Source organism: Homo sapiens, chromosome 6 (assembly GCF_000001405.40).
Source record: "Homo sapiens chromosome 6, GRCh38.p14 Primary Assembly".
NCBI lineage: Eukaryota > Metazoa > Chordata > Mammalia > Primates > Hominidae > Homo > Homo sapiens.
Window position 1 is genome coordinate 165,450,994 of NC_000006.12, and position 21,097 is coordinate 165,472,090.

General features: G+C 39.8%; 1 protein-coding gene across 13 annotated transcripts in view; it reads right to left on the reverse strand.

Moving 5' to 3' along the window:
- Positions 1-21,097, reverse strand: part of PDE10A (phosphodiesterase 10A) — a 660,764-nt gene that overhangs the window by 123,705 nt on the left and 515,962 nt on the right. The window contains exon 2 of one of the 13 annotated variants that reach the window (XM_047418101.1): positions 3,585-3,702. The exons of the other annotated variants lie outside the window; for them this stretch is intronic. The gene's annotated coding sequence lies outside the window, so the exon portion shown is untranslated. The remainder of the gene's footprint in view (positions 1-3,584; positions 3,703-21,097) is intronic. 13 annotated transcript variants of the gene reach the window in all.

A 21,097-nucleotide genomic window follows, 5' to 3' on the forward strand; every position in this document is an offset into this window, starting at 1 on the left:
ATCATACAAGAGCTTGCTGAGTGCACCTCTGTAAGATGCTAGGAAAGTCTGCTGCAGTCGCTGCACTGGGTGAAACAAGTGCCCTCTGTGCCACTCTAACTTTCCATTCCTTTCCATCTATATGGCTCCACCTTGGTCTGCTCTCATCCCTGCCACCATAGCAAGAGTTAGGCGCTTGCACTGCAGCCACTGTCCCCACAGCAGCAGCCCCACAGCATGTCCACAGCACAAGGCTTCATCATGGCACCAGTGGAAACAGCAGGTGGACAGGGAGATGTCAACCCCCACCCTGCTCCAGTTCAAGCTATAATGTGTCTTCTCTAAAGGAATAAAAAACAGTCCTCCAACTAATCTCCCTGCTCCCAAACTTGTCTTACTAAACCTAGTCTCAAAACAACAGGCACTGTAAACTCGAAATATAAAATTCTGTCTCTCCATGGCTTCAAACACTCCTGGGGCTTCCTACTGCACTTGGAATAATAAACAAAAACGCCTCGCACAGTAACACACCATGTGCTGCAAAGCATGGTTACTATCCAGCTCAAAACTGCGTCTCACACCCCACTCTGTCTACCCTCACTGTCACAACCCTGGCCATCTTTCTGCTTCTTGATCATTCAGATAACCTCCACTTCTAAAGGTCTATTACTTGCTGTTTTCTTGAGCACTATACTCAATAAATATCTGTTGAATGAACAAGTAAGTAACCAACCAATGATTGGACAAATACCACTGACCATCCTGACAATGCACTAGAGGAGGCTCTCTTCTAGTCATCAGAGACCCTAGAACAGTGGAACAAACCATTAAAGATATTATCTTCAATGAGCTCACATTCTAGTTGGAAGAGAATCAATACGTAAATAAGGCAGGTTTTTATATGAGAGCACCTACTTGGGTTCAGTATGCTAGTGCTAGGTTGGCTGAAATCTGTTCCCAAAAGTGGCCAATGCTCAATGAAGTTGAAACCTCAGAACTTCCCTGGTATATATTCAAAGGCTTAGCAAGATTGGAATGCTAGATTTGGCTGATGATGGGAGACTAGTTTCGCAATCCCCTGGCTATGTCCTAGGGATGCCCCCCTTCACCAAGGCCATGAGAAACACATTTACAGGGGGAGCCCTGGCATATGTGAATATATACCTGGCTCTGGTGCAGGCCAGGAATTAATGAGGAAACTGCTGCCATATGGCTGGGTTCCTTGAATTCACCCAGAAGATGGGATATTGATGTGGTAGAGGACAAGTGGGAGCACTTAACATCCAGAGACAAGGTGGGTATTGTCAGCACAACCAACAGAAGCAAAGCTGCAGAGGAATTTGGTCACAGAAATATTCAGCATGGCTGCTTGATCACAACTGCTATGGTTTGAACATTTCCTCCAAAGTTCATGTTTTGAAAACTTAACCCTGAATGCAAGTGTTGAGAGGTGGGACCTTTAAAAGGCAGAGCCCTTGTGAATGGAATAATGATGTTATTGGGGGAGTGAATTAGTTATCACGGGAGTGGGGTCCTGATAAAAGATATCTTTGGTCCCCTTCCCTTCTCTCTCTTGTACATTCTCTCTTGCTCTTCTCCTTTCTGCCATGGGATGACACAGCAGTAAGGCCCTCACCAAATGAAGGCCCCTCATCCCAGGACCTCCCAGCCTCCAAAATTGTAAGAAATAAATTTCTGTTCTTTATAAATTACCTAGTCTCAGATACTCTATTACAGCAGCACAAAATGGACTAAAACAGAAAACTGGTACCAGGAAGTGGGGCTGTGGCAATAACAAATATCTAAAAATGTGGAAGCAGCTTTGGAACTGGGAAATGAGTAGAGGACAAAAGAACTTGAAGGAAATGGCTGTAAAGAACCTAGACTGCAATAAAGGAAGCATCAAGGGAAATTCTGGTGAGGGTTTAGAAAAAAAAAAAACAGCTGTAGGAAGGGCTTTACCTTTCTTAGGAATTACTTAAGTGGTCACAATCAGAATACTGATAGAAACATGGACAATAAAGGCTATTCTGATGAGGTATCAGATGGAAATGAACAAGATACTCGCAACTGGAGTAAAAGCCATCCTTATGAAGTCACAAAGAACTTGACTGATCTGTAGCCATGTCCCAGGGCTATATAGAAAGCAGAACTTAAGGGCAATGAACTCAAGTATCTGGTGGCAGAAATTTCTAAGCAAAATAATGAAGGATCTTCATGACTACTCTTAACTGCACATAGTAAGATGTGAGTAGAGAGAAATTAAAGGTGGAATTTGTAATTAAAAGGGAAGCAGAATGGAAAGATTTGGAAAATTTGCAGCCTAGATACGTTAAGTGTGAAAAGACATGTTTAGCAGAACAAACCAAGGGTTTATGGGCAACTGACCATTTTCTAAAAACCTAAGTAGAGACAGAAAGTAGCAGGGTGCTATTCATCAAGACAATGGGAGAAAGACCATAAAGCTGCTTCAGAGATCTTGGAGGCCATCCCTCCCACCACAGGCTCAGAGCAGGGCCTTGAGGGCAAGGTTTCCAGAAGGTGTCCATGGAACCTCAGCTTTTGCTGCCCAGGCAACTTAAGGACTCTACTCCCTGCATTCCTTCACAATGTGAGCCCCAGCCACGGTTCAAGTGAGTTCAAGTGCAGCTCCTGCCACACCTTCAGAGGGCACAAACAGTAAGTCATAGTGGTATCCACATAATACTAACTGCAAACTTGCAGGCTTCATGAGCTGTGGTGCCACAGCAGCCTCTACCTAGATTTCAAAGGATGTAGTAGTCAGCCTGGGGCCCACGGACAAACTTGTTACAGCAGTGGAGCCCGCACAGACAGCCCCCAGTAGGCCAATACCTAGAGAAGCCCTGGGAGCAAGGCCATCTCAGAGACTCCAAAATGTAGAGTTACCAACTCCACAACTCTGGAGAAGCTCAGGCATGAGACACCAACCTGTGAGAGCTGAAGTGTGGGCTGGCCCCAGCAAAAATCATAAGGGCAAGGATACTCAAGGCCTAGGGAGCCTAACCCCAACTCCAGTGTGCCCAGAATGGGACAAATTGAGTCAAAGAAGATTATTCTCCAGCTTTAAAACTTAATGTTGTTTCCTCTGTTGAGTTTTGGACTTTTGGGACCAGTTACCCCCTTTCTTGTCTATTTCTCCTTTTTGGAATGGGAATATCAATCCTATGCCTCTTCTACCACTGAATTTTGGAAGTAGATGACTTGTTTTGATTTCACAGGCTCAAAGCTGAAGAAGGTTTGTTTCAGGACGAATTGTCCCTTGAGTCTCACTCATACCTGATTTAGATGAGACCCTGGACTGATGCTGTACAACTTAAGAACTTTGAGGCCACTGAAATGTGTACACTACATGTTAAAAGGACATGAATTTTGGTGGCCAGGGGTGGAGTGCTATGGTTTAAATGTACCTCCCAAAGTTTGCGTTAAAAATTTGATCCCCAACGCAACAGTACGGAGAGGTGGGACCTTAAGAGATGATTAGGTCATGATGGCCCCGTCTTCATAAATAGGTTAATACCATTACTGGGGGAGTGAATTAGTTATCTCAGCAGTGGGTTTCTGAATAAAAGGATGAGTTTGGCCACCTTCCTCTCTCTCTAAAGCGTGATCTCTTGCCCTTCCACCTTCTGCCATGGGATGATGCAGCAGGAAGGTCCTTGCCAGATGCAGGCACCTTGACCTTGGGCTTCTCTGTCTCCAGAACTGTAAGAAATAAATTTATTTTATTTATAAATTTCCTAGTCTGTAGTATTCCGGTATAGCAACACAAAACAAAGATAACAGTGTCCCTGGAACTGAACGGCGCAGACTATTGACATATTTTTTTTCATTTGTCTAAACAGAAAAGTTGTGGCTTAAATGAACAAAAATCTGACTTGATGACCACAAGAGAAAGTCAGAATATTTCACTGAATTCCCAGACATGAGCCAATTCACAGGCCCAGAACTCCTTAAATAAGGAAAGAGAAAGCAGGTCCCCTTGGAGAAGAATCCTACTATGCCACCAAAAATGTATAGCACAGATCTTCCTCCTGCCTTTCCCAAAGAGGTCGGCAGCCATTTGCCTGGGTGACTGAATATCACGGGGGCAGGCAGAATTACTAGATTTGGGGGACTACTGGACGTCAGCTCCACCCTGACATTAATTCTTTATTATTATTATTATCTTGAGACAGGGTCTAGCTCTGTTGCCCAGGCTGGAATGCAGCACTAACTATTAAGAGACCCAAACTCCACTGAGGAGTACCAATCAAAAGGGGTTCATGGAGATCAGGTGATCAATGAAGTTTTAGCTCAAGGTTTGTCTCAAAAATGAGCCACACTGGGGTCTCCAACACACCCTCTGGTGACTGCAGTTTGGGAATACACTTCTGGAACAGACATACTCAGCAGCAGACAGAACTCCGCACTGAAGGATCCCCACGTAGGAAGGGACAGAAGAAGTGAGACTTGGAGAAATCTGAGGGAAGAGCTTCCCAAGTAAAGAGAACAGGATAAATCAATTAATTACTATGACCAAAAGCGGCAAAATAGAAACCTGCCAAGCAATTCTTAGGCTGCATTTCAAACTTCAAAAACTACTAACTGCTACTATTAGGCTTTTACCTGTGGTAGCCACTCCCTGCTCTCTTCCCAAGCACTGAGAGCCTCGGCTGTAGAAGAGGTTCTCTTAGGTTGTGTGTATTCCCTTCTCAGGTCTGCTGCCTTCCTGGGCGGTGCCTAACATTTCTAAGGGCTGATTCCCCCTCCCATTAGCCTTGTGGGCCCTACTTGCTTTGTTGCACACTTGACCATAGTAAGTCATTGGTCTCCAACTCAGTTTTGTGACTTTTTATTGCTAAAATGTAATCTTAACAGCCAAAACTTCTCAGTTATTTTCTAGCTCCAGATTTTTGTCCAAGTCTTGTTCTTACCCAAGTACCTGTTGATAGGTATTTACATAATTACAGAATTTACATAAAAATCATGAACACTTGAAATTCTAATGACTCTAAAATATGACAGCATTGTTTGAGGTCACCAAAACTTAGGTTATTTTCTTTATCATCTGTAACCAGATCCTATTCGAGCTATTTCAAGTTCTGAATAACTTCAGATAAAATATGCTACTCTATCATACCCTCTCTCTTCCTTACTTATTCCACTTATTCCAACCACTAGTTCTGTATTTTCTTTACCCCACAGTCTTTAAAAGGAGCTTCTATGAGAATGAAGCTAGCCTAAAAGAAAGCTGAGCCAAACAATAGTGAGAGACCTAAGTCTATCAACTTTGAACACCTAGATCCAGCCAAGCAAAAGCTTCATGTGTAAAAATCACTAGATATTTCTTTTAAATAAACCAATACATTCTCTGAATTCTTCATTTTCCACGTGGAAGAAAGAAGCATTAGCCAGCTTAAGGGGAGTTTTCAGTCATTCAGGCTCCACACAAATGATACACGGCTGACTCCTTCCTCTTAGCATATAATTCTGAGAACAGGCTCTTTAATAATGACCTGTGTGCAGTGCTGAGATCAATAACCAGCTGTTCTCCATCTCTTTTGGACAGGAAATGGGTTGTTACAAATAAGTGAGAACAAGAAGACATGCTGGGATGTGGACAGTTTATCATGAGGTTTCATTTCACGTCTCTGGGCTTTAGTTTTCTCATTTGTATAATAAGAAGGCTGAATTATACTGTCTGTAAAATGCTTTCCCTTTCCAAGACTAAATTTCTGAGATAAGCTATGACCTAGGTTTTAAAATTTTTTCTTGTTTATATTAAGCTTCAAATTCTAATATTTCATCTAATAGAATGTTAGCACATCCTGTTTCCTTTTGTTGCTCATTATAACTGCAAAAGTATTATGACAGCAAAATGTTTTTACTATAATTTCTATATTGACATATTAACTCAAATATTAAAGGTCTATCTACATAGTTAACAAATCACTCAAACCATAATATACTGTAAAATGTAAAATTACATGCAAATGTACTACAAGAATAAGCAAAATTGTTATTTGGTTGTTAGCCTTCTGGTCATTCTGTTGTTTATCAGGACTGTTATGAAAGGCAAAGCTGAGGAGACAAATTACGTGAATGTCAAATCACATACTTGTAAGACACTTCTATGGAAACCCCATGATAAAGGAATCAATTTCTATTTAACTGAATAAACATGAATTCTATGGCTTGACTAATAACAATTACAATAAGTATACTAATAAAGATGTTAAGAACTTGTATTTTTACAGCATTTTTAACTTCATAAAGTCCCTTCATGACTTTCCTAAGAGAAACTACAACAAGTTTATACTGGGCATCACTGCAGCATTCGTAATTCGAGACGAGTTAAAATTCCAAAGTAGAGTTAAGCTGGGAGCTACACATTTTTCCCAAATCAAATTGGATACCACCATCTTCATATTCTGTTCCACGCTGATTTCATGTAGTACTTGCGTTTTATTTGAGCAACCACCAAAAACACAGCTTCACAAAGATAAGACCTGAACGATAGAACTGTAGTGATCTAATATTAAAACTGAACTATGTCAAGCTAACATTGTCAAGCTATATGTATATATATGTATATATATAACATACGTCAAGCTACATCAGGTTCTGTCCAACATATGCCACTGTGTTTCCCATGACATTTTAATATATCCTGAGTTACTCTTGTACATTTGCTGTGGTGCCTCAGGGCATTTGGAACACAGTTTGGGAACCAGGGGAAAGCCACTCTCTTGCCTAGGGGGAAATAATATTTTACAAAATAAAATGGTAATGAACAAATCAGTGTTAATTGTTGGTTCAGAAAGAAAAGTAAAAGCTAGTTTCACCGGGAGGACAAATGTTCCCATGACTGCTAAAATGAATTAGTTATGTAAACATGCATTAGACAGCTACTTAGCCAAAAAAGTTTAGAGGCAATTCAGTAATCACATGGAAACTGTGACCTCTGTTAGTCCCGAGAGTCTGTGATTGTATGAGGTGGCACCAACATATCCAGAAGGCCAACAATAAACAAGAAGCCATAATGAGACAAATGTTAAATTGGATAAATATTTAACAGCATAAAAAGGAGCTCCTCAGTTTCTAATATAAACTTCAATATTGGAAAAATATCTTCTCATCATTTTTTATATTATTCCTTTGTTCCTTTTTATATTGTTTATAATGTTTTATTTTGACATAATTTCGATCTTACAGAAAAATTTCGATATTACAAGAATAGTACAAGAAACACCTTGTATACCTTTTACCCAGAGCTATAGACTGTATCTCTGTCTCCCCCTAAAATTCCTACGCTGAAATCTTAACCCCCACTGTGATGCAATCAGGAGGTGGGAGCTTCAGGGGAGTGATTAGGTCAGGAGAATAGAGCCCTCATGAATGGGATTAGGGACAGGACACTTCCACCCTGTGAGGACACGGCAAGAAGACAGCTGCCTTTTATCAGGAAGAGGGTCCTCAGCAGACCCCGAATGTGCCATCACCTTGATCTTGAACTTCACAGCTTCCAGAGTTGTAATTTCTGATGTTTATTACGCCACCAGTCTATGGGACTTTGTGACAGCAGCTAAACCAGGACACTAAGGTTTACCAGTAATTCCATTTTTCTTATTTGCCTTAGCATTCTATCAGTAAATTGTATCTATCAATCTTTCTCTCCACACATGGACAGGCGCACGCACACACACACACACTCACACACACACACACGTTTTATAAATATGTTTTAATATTTTAAGAGCAAGTTGGTGTGCCCCTTTATTCCTAGACACTTCAGTGTGCATTTCCCAAGTAAAAGAACATTCCCTTACAAGTTAAATACAGTTACCATGATCAGAAAATTTAACGTTTCTACAGCAATATTAGCTAAATAAAAACCCACATTCACAGTTCACCTGTTGTCCCAAAAATGTCCTATAAAGGATTATGACCCCCCACCCGTCTAAGTTCAAATCCCAGATCACATATGCTATTTAGGCATCACATTTCTTCAGCATCTTTCAACGTACAACAGTTCCCTCAGCCCGTCTTGTGTTTCCTGAACTTGATACTTTTGAAGAATATAGGCCAATTTTGATTTGTCTGATGTTTTCTAAATATCAGATTGAGGTTCAGAATTATTTTCAGCGAAACAATGAAGTGATGAAGCTAGAAAGCCATAATCCGAAGAAGAGTGAGCATGCCTGGCTGCCTCCCTGACTTCCTCCATGTGAACATGAGATCAAAGACTTATCTTGATCCGCTATTACTGTCATTTAATTTGATGCTCAAGTTGGCCCAGATTTGGCAAGCAGAAACCCCTTCAAGATAGCTCCTATATGCTTTTCACACGTCCTAATGATTCCTTCAACACTTCCTTACCTTTTTGTCACATACTTTGCCAGCCCTTGAATCAGCCATTTCTAATTCAAAGAAATCCCAGTTCCCCTTAGTAGAAAATGGCATTTAAAATCCAAGAGTTGAAGCTATATCACACTGCTGTCAATGCTTCTAATGCATTAGATAGATAGATAGATAGATAGATAGATAGATAGACAGACAGACAGACAGACAGACAGACAGACAGACAGATAGATAGATAATGATAGATATATATATATATATAATATAGATAATGATTGCAGATTTGGCTGCTCAGGATATAGTACTGCAGTTATTAGCTTTTGACAATGCTAATCCTCATTGCCAGGCTGCTCTGTGACCTATCAGAGGGAAAGCACACTTAGTTGATTATATCAAGGCCTGTGATGGTATCGGAGGTAATCTGCATAAAGCTACTCTGCTAGCACAGGCAATGGCAGGACTGAGAGTGGATAAAGGAAATACTACGTTTCCTGGAGCTTGCTTTAACTGTGGGAAGCATGCTCATACTAAAAAAGAATGTAGAAAAAAATCAGCGAGTCAGGCCGCCAGATAGGGGAAAAAAGAAAACTGCTGAGCCTGAAATATGTCCAAAATGTAAAAAAGGAAAACAATGGGCTACTCAGTGTCACTCTAAGTTTGATAAAAATGGGAACCCGATTTTGGGAAATGCCATGAGGGACCCGTCCCGGGCCCCATTCTAAACCGGGGCATTTCCAGCTCAGGCCATTCCCTCACCCCTGTACAATGTCTGTCTCCTGCCACAGCCGGTAGTGCCGCAGTAGATTTATGCTGCAGAAAAGCTGCGAGCCTTCTGCCTGGGGAACCCCCACAAAAGGTCCCAACAGGAGCCTGTGGACCCTTGCCAGCGGGTACAATAGGATTACTTTTAGGAAAGTCTAGTTTAAGTTTAAAACAGGTACAAATACATACAGGAGTCATTGATTCAGATTACAATGGGGAAATTCAAGTTGTTTTATCTACTTTTGTTCCCTGGAAAGCAGAGCCAGGGAAGCACAAAGCACAGCTCCTGATTGTGCCATATGTGGGAATGGGAAAAAGTGAAATTAAATGAACAGGAGGATTTGGAAGCACAAACAAACAAGGCAAAGCAGCTTATTGGGTAAATCAAATTGCTGATAAACGTCCTACTTGTGAAATAACTATTCAGGGAAAGAAATTTAAAGGTTTGGTAGATACAGGAGCAGACATTTCCATCATTTCTCTACAGCACTGGCCGTCCGATTGGCCAATTCAACCCGCTCAATTTAACATAGTTGGAGTTGGTAAAGCCCCTGAAATATATAAAAGTAGCTATATTTTGCATAGTGAAGGGCCCGATGGACAACCTGGGACTATTCAACCAATTATAACTTCTGCACCTATAAATTTATGGGGAAGAGATTTATTACAACAATGGGGAGCACAAGTTCTAATTCCAGAACAATTATATAGCCCTCAGAATCAACATACAATGCATGAAACGAGGTATGTCCCTGGTATGGGACTAAAAAAAAATTTGCAAGGTTTGAAAAAACCGCTTCAAGTGGAAAAACAAAGTTCCTGCCAAAAATTAGGAAATAATTTTTGATGGCGGCCGTTGTTAAGCCTCCAGAACCTATACCTTTAAAATGGTTAACAGATAAGCCAATTTGGATAGAACAATGGCCACTAAGTAAAGAGGAACTGGAGGCTTTAGATAAATTAGTTACTGAACAATTAGAAAATGGGCACAGAGCTCCAACATTTCCCCTTGGAATTCTCTAGTTTTCATAATTAAGAAAAAATCAGGTAAATGGAGAATGTTAACTGACTTAAGAGCTATCAATTCAGTTATACAACCTATGGGAGCATTACAGCCAGGACTGCCTTCTCCTGCTACAATTCCAAAAAATTGGCCTTTAATAATTAGTCATAGATTTAAAAGACTGTTTGTTTGCTATCCCTTTAGCTGAGCAAGACTGTAAATGGCTTGCATTTACAATTCCTGCAGTAAACAACCTGCAGCCTGCTAAGCGTTTTCATTGTTTTACAGATGGATCTAGTAATGGAAAAGCTTCTTATTCTGGCTCGAAAAGTAAAGTTTTCCAGACGCCCTATACTTCAGCTCAAAAAGCAGAGCTTGTAGCTGTAATTGAGGTATTGACTGCTTTTGATATGTCAATTAATGTGATTTCTGATTCTTCATACATGGTTCATTCCGCACAGTTAATTGAAAATGCTCAGTTACGATTTCATACAGATGAACAACTGATGACTTTATTTACCCAATTGCAAACAGCAGTTAGAAGTAGAATGCACCCTTTTTACATCACTCACATTAGGGCTCATGTACCTCTTCCAGGACCTTTGACTGAAGGGAATCAAATGGCCGATCACCTAGTTGCTAATGCAATATCTAATGCTAGACACTTTCACAATTTAACCCATGTTAATGCCTCTGGCCTCAAACGCAGATACAGCACTACCTGGAAAGAAGCTAAAAATATTATCCAACGATGCCCAACTTGCCAAATGGTATATTCCTCATCTTTTACAGGAGGAGTTAATCCTCAAGGACTGGAACCTAACTCTTCTTTAGCAAATGGATGTCACACATGTTCCCTCGTTTGGGAGACTAGCTTATGTACATGTATGTGTGGATATCTTTTCTCACTTTGGGCTACAGGCCAATCAGGAGAGTCTTCTGCCTGTGTTAAATGTCACCTTTTGCAGTGTTTTGCAGTGATGGGTATTCCAGCTTCTATTAAAACAGATAATGCCCCAGGCTATACTAGCCAAGCTCTAGTTACATTTTTCTCTATGTGGAATATTAAACACATTACTGGTATCCCATACAATTCTCAAGGACAAGTCATAATGGAAAGAATGAATCTTTTTCTAAAACAGCAGTTGCAAAAGGGGGAAATAGAGAATATGGAACCCCACAGATGCAATTGAATCTAGCATTATTAACTTTAAATTTTTTGAGCCTGTCCAAAGGCCAGATGTTATCAGCACCTGAACAGTATCTACAGAAACCAGATGCAAAGACAGAAGCAGAACAACCGATTTGGTGGAGAGATCCAATAACAAAACGTTGGGAAATAGGTAAAATAACTTGGGGTAAAGGTTATGCTTGTGCTTCTCCAGGACCAAATCAACAGCCGATTTGGATGCCATCAAGACACCTAAAACCTTATCATGAGCCAGATGCCGAGGAAGAGATTCTGGGAGGATCCCGAGGACCCCCTAGTTGCAGCCATGTCGAGACTGACGCTGAGGAGGTCCCCAACTGTCACGAGCAACACCCGTCAAACACAGCCACCCACATGGGGACAGATCAAGAAGCTGTCACAGATGGCAGAAGAAAACCTGAGGAAAGCAGTACAACCAGTCACAATGAGTAATTTAATGGTAGCTATGATAGCAGTGATCACCACTGCCATGAGTATTCCTTCAGCAAGGGCTGACACAGAGAACAATTATACTTATTGGGCATATTTATCAATCTTGGCTGGCAATAATGCCTAGATGCAATCACTCTATAACACAGTTACACATGCTTTCTGATCTCAGTATTTACCATAATAAATCTGCTACTATAATTGAGGCATACCACCCTCAAAAACCTTTTTGTAAACAGGATTGGACCCAGTTAGAAAAAATGAACATACTTGTTTAGTAAGATTGCATTGCAGAACAGGCAGAGGTGCTGCACAACGATTCCTATGGAATCATTACTAATTGGTCCCCTAAGGGGATGTTTAGCTTGAATTGCACCTCTCAGTCTGCGAGCCACAGCCACACTACGTTCAGCTGATCTGAACAAAACAGTCAGACGGTAGAAATGGCAAAAAATACAGCAAAAGTTCCTATTATCTGGAACCATGGTGGTATAGTGGCACCTCAACCTCAAATGATATGGCTCATTGTAGGAGCTAAACATAAGGATTTGTGGAAACTATTAATAGCTCTTAGTAAGATCAAAATTTGGGAAAGAATAAAAAAGCTTCTAGAAGGACAATCTACAAACTGGTTTTTGGATACAGCAAAATTAAAAGAACAAATATTTAAAGCATCCCAGGCACGCCTGAGCTTAATGCAAGGAACTGGAGTGCTTAAAGGAGCTGCAGACAAATTAGCAGCTAGTAACCCATTAATATGGATAAAAACACTTGGAAGCTTTGTAATTTCAATGATGATTGTGCTTTCATAAATCTGTGTTGTTTGTATAGTCTGCAGATGTGGATCCTGACTCCTGCGAGAAGTAGCTGACCGTCACAAAGCTGCCTTTGCTTTTATCGATTTGCAAATCAAAGAAGGGGGACATGTTGGGAATAAGCCCCCCCCAAAAATCTGGCCATAAACTGGCCCCAAAACTGGCCATAAACAAAATCTCTGCAGCAGCACTGTGACATGTTCATGGCCATAAAGCCCACACTGGGAGGTTGTGGGTTTACCGGAATGAGGGCAAGGAATACCTGGCCCGCCCAGGGCGGAAAACCACTTAAAGGCATTCTTAAGCCACAAACAATAGCATGAGTGATCTGTGCCTTAAGGACATGCTCCTGCTGCAGAAAATTAGCCCAACCTATTCCTTTAATTAGGTCCATCCCTTCGTTTCCCATAAGGGATACTTTTAGTTAATTTAATATCTATAGAAACAATGCTAATGACTGGCTTGCTGTTAATAAATATGTGGGTAAATCTCTGTTCGGGGATCTCAGCTCTGAAGGCTGTGAGACCCCTGATTTCCCACTTCACACCTCCATATTTCTTTGTGTGTGTCTTTAATTCCTCTAGCGCTGCTGGGTTAGGGTCTCCCCAACCGAGCTGGTCTCGGCATATACATACACACACATACACACACAAACACACACATAGGTATGTGTAAGCTGATAATTGTCATTCTGCATGTATTTGTCTACTTACATATACATATATTAGGAGAGATGAAAAACCATGACTCATTCTGATACCTCCGGTTCCAACCAAACACTACAGTATACATTCCACTATTTCCTATTTCCATATTTGTAATTACCTCACCCAACATGTGAAATCTGGCTGTCAATATCCTTAACATACTTATATATTTTCTCAAGTCTAGAATACACAGAGGTAGTTTTAGAATTGCTAAGCCATACCACTTCAAATAGTAAATGTATTAACTAGATGTTAATATTTTTTAGTTTTTTAGGTAAAATTTACAGACACTGAAATATACAAATCTTAATGGTACTAGTGCATAAATCCTTGTAACATACATCCTACCAAGAAAGAACATTTCAACTCTTCATAAACTCCCTCCCATAGTCCTTTCTAATCAATCCCTGTCCTCAAAACAGCCACTCTTTTTGACTTTTCCCACCATAGATTAGTTTTGCCAGCTTTTGGAATTATTTGTAAATGGAATCATACAATATGTACTCTTTTGAACCTACTACATTGGCTCAACAGGATGTCAGGGCAAACCAGCCATGGTACTATGTGTTTCAGTAGTGTGTTCCTTTCCATTACTGGTAACATTCCATTGTATTAATGTACTACAACTTGTTTATCTGCCATACTATTGCTGGACATTTGGGATGTTTGTTTCCAGTTTTGAGCTATTATGAATAAAGCCTGCTATGAACATTCTTATGGAAGTCTTTTTGTGAACACAGGTTTTCAATTACCTTTAGCAAATTCAGAGTAAAATTCCTGGATTGCAAGATAAATGTATGTTTAACTTTACAAGAAGTTACCCCCCTTTTTTCAGTGCTTTATATTCTTAAGAATTGAGTTATCAAAATGATTTAGGCATTTTAAAGAAAAAGTTGTTAAAAATAAAGGTGATCTATATCACACAAATGGCACAGGCTAAAAATCTAACCATTCTGTAATGAGCAACTATAATGACCCATGAAGGAAATCTGCGAGCTACACAGGTATAGGTGGAAAAGCTTGGGGGTAACACAGAGGAGGCCACTGATTCTTTGCAAATGCTTACTTTAAAAAATTTTAAAATCCTAAACAGCATATAAAGGGCCAGTAGATATTCACCCTGAGTCTATCCTAGCACTATGGGGAAAAGAGAAAAAGCAGCCACCTTCACTTGTTCTACAGTGTAACTGAGCACAGAAGAAATGCTACACAGAGCTGTTTCAAAGGATTACAAGAGAGTAAACAAGGCACTGTATTAGTTCCTTCTCACGCTGCTATGAAGACATACCCAAGACTAGCTAATTTATAAAGAAAAGAGGTTTAGTTGACTTATAGTTCCACATGACTAGAGAGGCCTCAGGAAACTTACAATCATAGTGGAAGGTACCACGTCACAGAGCGGCAGGAGAGAGAATGAGTCCTGAGCAAAGGGGGAAGCCCCTTATAAAGCCATCAAATCTTGTGAAAACTCACTCACTATCATGAGAATAGGGGGAAATCGCCCCCATGATTCAATTATCTCCATCTGGTCAAGTGCTTGACACATGGGGATTATTACAATTCAAGGTGAGATTTGGGTGGGGACACAAAGCCAAACCATATCAGGTATGATTTAGGAGTAGCATAGTTCCGAAGTTTAGAGAATGCATCTTAAAGAATGCTAGCACAGATGACAGAAACTGCAGGAGGAAGTACTAAAAGAGAGGGTAGCAGAGGAACAAGCAGGGCATGAGGACAGAACGATCATGGCTGATTATCAGGACTGTCCCTGGACAATGAATTCATGTCGAAGTAGAAAGCACACAGGCAGGGATTCTGCAAATCAACAAGGCACTAATTTGAAAACACATCATTAGCTCAGTTCAATAAAACAGAAATAATAAAAACTAATATTCCAAAAGAACATTATAATTTTCAAAGGGCTTTTTATAAATTAATGAATCTCATTTAGGACAAAAAGGTTCACAAGATGAAAAGGGCTTTTCACACTAACAAGTTTAGCGAAAAGGGATCCTTGAGATAAAATAGTATTAAATCACTGACTGATACAGCAAACATTTTTTAAGTTTAAGATTGCTAGTAGAAAAGGATTAAGCATTCAAGGGCAGCTGAATAATGAGAAAATTAAGGGAAAGAAAAGATGTAGTTTAAGTACTTTACCCAACAGATGTATTTCTGAATGTCAGCACAGGCATACGTCATTTTGATTGTGCTTTGCTTTACTGCTCTTTGTAGATATTGCATGTTTTACAAATGGAAGGTGCGTGGCAACCCTGCATCAAAAAATTCCATCAGCGCCACTTTTCCAACAGCCTGTGTTCACTTCATGTCTCTATGTCACATTTTGTAATTCTCACTGTATTTCAAAACTTTTTCATTATTATTGTACCTGTTAAGGTGATCTACAGTCAGTGATATTTAATCATCTGTAACTATTCTCCCATCTCCCCTCCTCTCCTTGAACCTCCCTAATCCTGAGACAAAACAATGTTGAAATTAGACAAACCAATTAATAACTCTACAATGATCTCCAAGTGTTCAAGTGAAAGAAAGAGTCACATGTGTTTCACTTTAAATCAAAAACTAGAAATAAGTAAACCTAGTGAGGAAGACACGTCAAAAGCCAAGACAGGCTGAGAACTGGGTCTCTTGCTCCAGTTAGTGAAGTTGTGAACGCAAAGAAAAAGTTCTTGAAGGAAATTAAAAGTGCTAATCTAAAGAACATATGAATAATAAGAAGAAACAGCCTTATTGCTAATATGGAGAAAGATTTGGTTGTCTGGATAGAAGATCAAACCAACTACAATATTCCCTTACAGCAAAGTGTAATCCAGAGCCCTAGCTCCCTTCAATTAGAAGACTGAGAGATGTGGGAAAGCTGCAGAAGAAAAGTTTGAAGCTAGTAGAGGTTACTTCATGAGGTTTAAAGAAAGAAGCCATCTTCATAACAGAGAAGTGCAATGTGAAGCAGCAAGTACTGATGGAGAAGCTGCAGCAAGTTATCCAAAATATCTAGCTAAGATAATGGATGAAAGTGGCTATCCTAGAGAGTGGATTTTCAAAGCAGACGAAACATTCTTACAACACTGAGGTGTCATCTAGGACCCTTATAACTGGAGGAGAAATCAATGTCTGGCTTCAAAGTTTCAAAGAACAGGTGACTCCCTTATTAGTGACAAATGCTGCTGATGACTTTAAGTTGAATCTAAGGCTCAGTGACCACTGCAAAAATTCTAGGGCCCATAAGAATTATGCTAAATTGACTCTGCCTGTGTTCTAGAAATGCAAGAACAAAGGCACAAGGACATCACATCTGTTTTTGGCATAGTTTGCTGAACATTTTAAGCCCACTGTTGAAAGCTACTGCTCCAAAAAAAATTCCTTTCAAAATATTAATCCTTGGCCAGGTGTGGTGGCTCATGCCTGCAATCCCACTTTCTATGCCTAGTGAAGATGCTATGAACATTTGTTGACATGATGACAAAGGATTTAGAATATTCTATAAACTTAGTTGATAAGGCAGAGACAGGGTTTGAAAGGATGAACCCCAATGTTCTACTGTGGGCAAAAATACTTTCAAACAGCGTTGCATGCTGCAGAGAAATCTTCTATGAAAGGAAGAGTCGGCTGATGTGGCAAACTTTATTTTTGCCTTATTTTTAAAAATTGCCACAGCCACCCCAACCTTCAGCAACCACAATGCTGATACATCAGAAGCCATCTACATCTAGGCAAGAATCTCCCCCAGCAAAAAGATTACAACTTGCCGACAGCTCAGATAATCTTTAGCATTTTTTAGCAATAAAGCCATACATAATTTTATTTATTTTGTTTTTTGAGACAGAGTCTCACTCTGTTGCCTAAGCTGGAGTGCAGTGGCACAGTCTCGGCTCACTGCAACCTCTGCCTCCCAGGTTCAAGCGATTCTCCTGCCTCAGCCTCCTGAGTAGCAGGGATTGCAGGTGCCTACCACCATGCTAGGCTAATTTTTTTTTATTTTTTTTTTTTTTAGTAGAGATGGGGTTTCACCATGTTGGTCAGGCTGGTCTTGAACTCCTGACCTCGTGATCCGCCCGCCTCAGCCTCCAAAAGCGCTGGGATTACAGGCGTGAGCCACTGCACCTGGGCATTATTTTTAATTAGTGAATGCACATTGCATTTTTAGACATGATGCTATTACACAATTTACAGGCTACAGTATAGTATAAACATAACTTTATATGCGCTGAGAAACCAAAAAATTCTTGTGACTCACTTTATGGTGATATTTGCTTTATTGGAACAGTCTGAAACTGAACCCACAATACCTTCTAGGTATGATTATATGTAAGGTTTTTAACAAATATTTATTTAGCAGTGTGTCAAGCATTATCAGATGAGGCTACTATTCTCATGGAGTTTAAATCCTATTGGGGGAGGGGAACAGATAAACAAGAAATTATCAACTTGTGAAAACACTTATGACCAAAAAAGTATCTGATGCCTTTGTTGCCATCTTTAACAAACCACAATCTAGGTGTGATTGGATTTTATGCATAGCTACTCCATTACTGGATTGTTATTATATTCTTTTTTACACAATGAAGAAATGCTCCCCAAACAACCTTTAAACGGCCCTTGAATTTATGGACTGGGACCACCCATCTTTATGGGCCTAAAACAGCTCCTCTGTTGCAGCAGTTTGCAAAATCTACAGTCTAGCATAGACTTGTGGCTGCCAAGAATGGTGTGGCAAAACAGGTGGTAATTTAAGGTCTTGCGAAAGAGGAATGTGTTTAGTTCCCACTTTTAACATTTTTATCATAATCACTTGATATCATTTTTTAGATAAAATGACTCCTTGCCTACTAGCATAGTGAGTAATAAGATATGCATCTTCTATGTATCATCTGCATCACTTTATTATTATGGAATCGGGAACAGACTTTAAAAGACAAACGGTTCGCGTCTGTAATCTGTTGTTAAGATTATGGGTTTTGCCTTAAGTACAAACAGATCACTGTCTTTAGCAAGCATTTCCTAGTATTTAAGGGGTCAGTAGGAACTATTTCCATATAGCAGGGTGTTGTATTCAATTAGGTAGAGAAGTGTTTTACACTAATATGCTCAGGAAGCCAACATGCTTAGGAGTGACGCTCCACACGGGTTTCTGAGGTTGCTATGGCTGTAGTTCATAAGGAGCAGCAAAGTTCCTGAAAAGAAATTTAGCTTAAAACAACCAATCCGTAATTTATGCGAAGAATTTTTCTCTCCGGTTTTCACAAAACATAAATTTGAATGCCTGAAGAAGATATTTCAACTTGTGTAATAAGATGAATACGGACTTTTCTTGCAGTCTTCCTGTGGGGTTCTTCTTCATGAAGAATGAGTGGTTTTCCATCTGGGTGAGAAGTTATCATCAAGAATGAGTGGTTTTCCATCTGGGTGAGAAATTCTTATTGGGCTCTTTGATTTTCAAAATCCAAGATGTCAGAATTTCACTTTACCTTACTGGAACACTGTATCTGTCAACTGGTTCCTCTGGCTTCTAAATCCTGTGTTGATGATCAACAAGATAGGATACCTGCCTGCACTCCAGGTATTTGTTTATAAGTATCATTTTGGACCATTCAAAGCCCACCACTTAGCCAAAGCCTGGCTTTAAGAAAATTCTACTTAGGGTGCTGTAAAGAGACAGGCTTTCTGTCCACTCCTCCTTGTGCTTTCCGTTCCACCCTTGGGTCCCATCACTTTAGCCCTGTGGTTTTCAGCTGCAGTGAGTGAGGGCATTGGTGTTTAGTCCATGTTTGCTGCTACAAAGGAATACCTGAGGCTACGTAATTTATAAATACAAAAGGCTTATTTGGCTCACGGATCTGCTGGTGAGGGCTTCAGGCTGCTTCCACTCCTGGAGGAAGCAAAGGGGAACCAGTGTGTGCAGATATCACATGACCAGAGAGGAAGCAAGGGAGGCAGTGGAGTTTCAACAGGAGACTTGTTAGGGCCAAACAAACCATACACAAACCATAGCGACAGGTAACGAGAACTGACTCCACGTAATTCTAACTTATGTCTGATCTAATCCAGCCTTCTGTACGGTCAACTGCACTTTTTGAACACTGAACCACATTATAATATTATGCCTTTGAAACTTATTGAAAATTGCTGTAAATCAGATATATAAACTTATTTGCATTTTCATAAAATCCAGTATTAAAAACTTTGTCCTGAAAAAGACTGATTGGTGCCTTTCCCTTAGAGGATAAGTAAGTCAACTTTGGTTTATACTTCACCTGATTAAAAATTAAAAGCCAGATTTTCTACTCATTCATAGAAAAGTATTACCTCTTACAAATTGTTTTCTTTCTAGTTCTTCCTCTGTTGTATTTGGTTACGCTTGTTTTTCTGGTAATCAATTAGAAAACCTCTTTTCAAATGATATAGAAAGAAGAGAAATGGAAAGTGAGTAAATGGTAATTAGTTGTGAAGGAACAGGTAAAGCTGCAATAGGGAGGACCTGGGAGGCTGACAGGGCCTCTCTAAGCCCTTAAAGACTCTGTTTAGACCATCCTCCCCTCTCTGTCCCATTGCATCAAACTTTCTCTCTCTACTGAATCACTTCCACAAATATATAAACATGCTGTCATTTATCCCATATTTTAAGAGAAAAAAACTAAAACAAAACCGGAGCTTTTTGTTGCCTCTTTATAGCTTTCCTATATATTTACCACCCATTTCTCTCCTCTCTTTTCAGGTAAAACTCCATAAAACAATTGTATCTATTGCTGCCTACAATTTCTCTTCTCTCACAAATTCCAATTGCTCCAAGAAAACAGCTTTCAGTGAGGTCACCAATGACCCCACACTGCCAAACCCAAAGGTCAGCTCTCAGTCTTCCTTTCCCTTAGAACTCCAGCACCATTTGACATAGTTGATTGCTCTATTTTATTTTAAATAATTTTTTATTTAAAAGAAACATATGCCCCTGATTCTCTTTCCACCTCTTGTGTTCAGTCTTCCTTTCTACTTCTTCCTCCCTTAGAAGTCTCAGGCTTCTAAATGTTATGTTCCAGGGTTGAGCCACACTCACCTGTCAAGTGATCTCATCTGGGTTCATGACTCTAGCTACTATCTGTATGTGGATGGTTCTTAAATCATCATATTACTAATGATCTCAAATTTATATCTCTAACCCAGAACGTTTACCTAAACTCCAGTCTCATATATACAACTTACTACTTAACATCTCCCATTTGGAAATCTATTAGGCATCTCCAACTTAGCACATCCAAAACTGATTGTCTGTTAGGAACCACCCCCTGAACACACACCCTGACCTGTCCATCCTGCAGGCCCTCCCATGGAGGGCCTCCCAGCCTTCCATTGGCTCAGGCAAAACCCTGATGCCTCCTTTCCTTTCTTCCCTCTGTTTTAATATCACATATCTGGATTAATCAATAATTCTTGTTAGCCCTCCTTTCAAAATAAATGCAGAATTCTATCAAACCCAAGCATTTTCCCCTACCTCCATTACCACCAGCCTGGTCCAATTTCTTATTAGACTTACTACACTAGCCTTCTACTTGCCAATCACCCCTGGCAATGAAAAATTATTTTAAAGCGCTGCTGAAATCATTTACTTAGGATTTCTGAACTTTTGTTTGCGCTAATAAAACTAGTTAACAGTCTCTTAATTTAATGCTTTTTTCTCTTTTGTTTAATACACTAATTTTTGTGTCAAAAATAATACTCCCTTTTGAGATGAGTTATTTTCCTAGCTTTAAATAACTTGAGATGAGTTATTTTCCTAGCACACTTCATATAATGTAGAAATTTTCTCCTCTTTAATGTT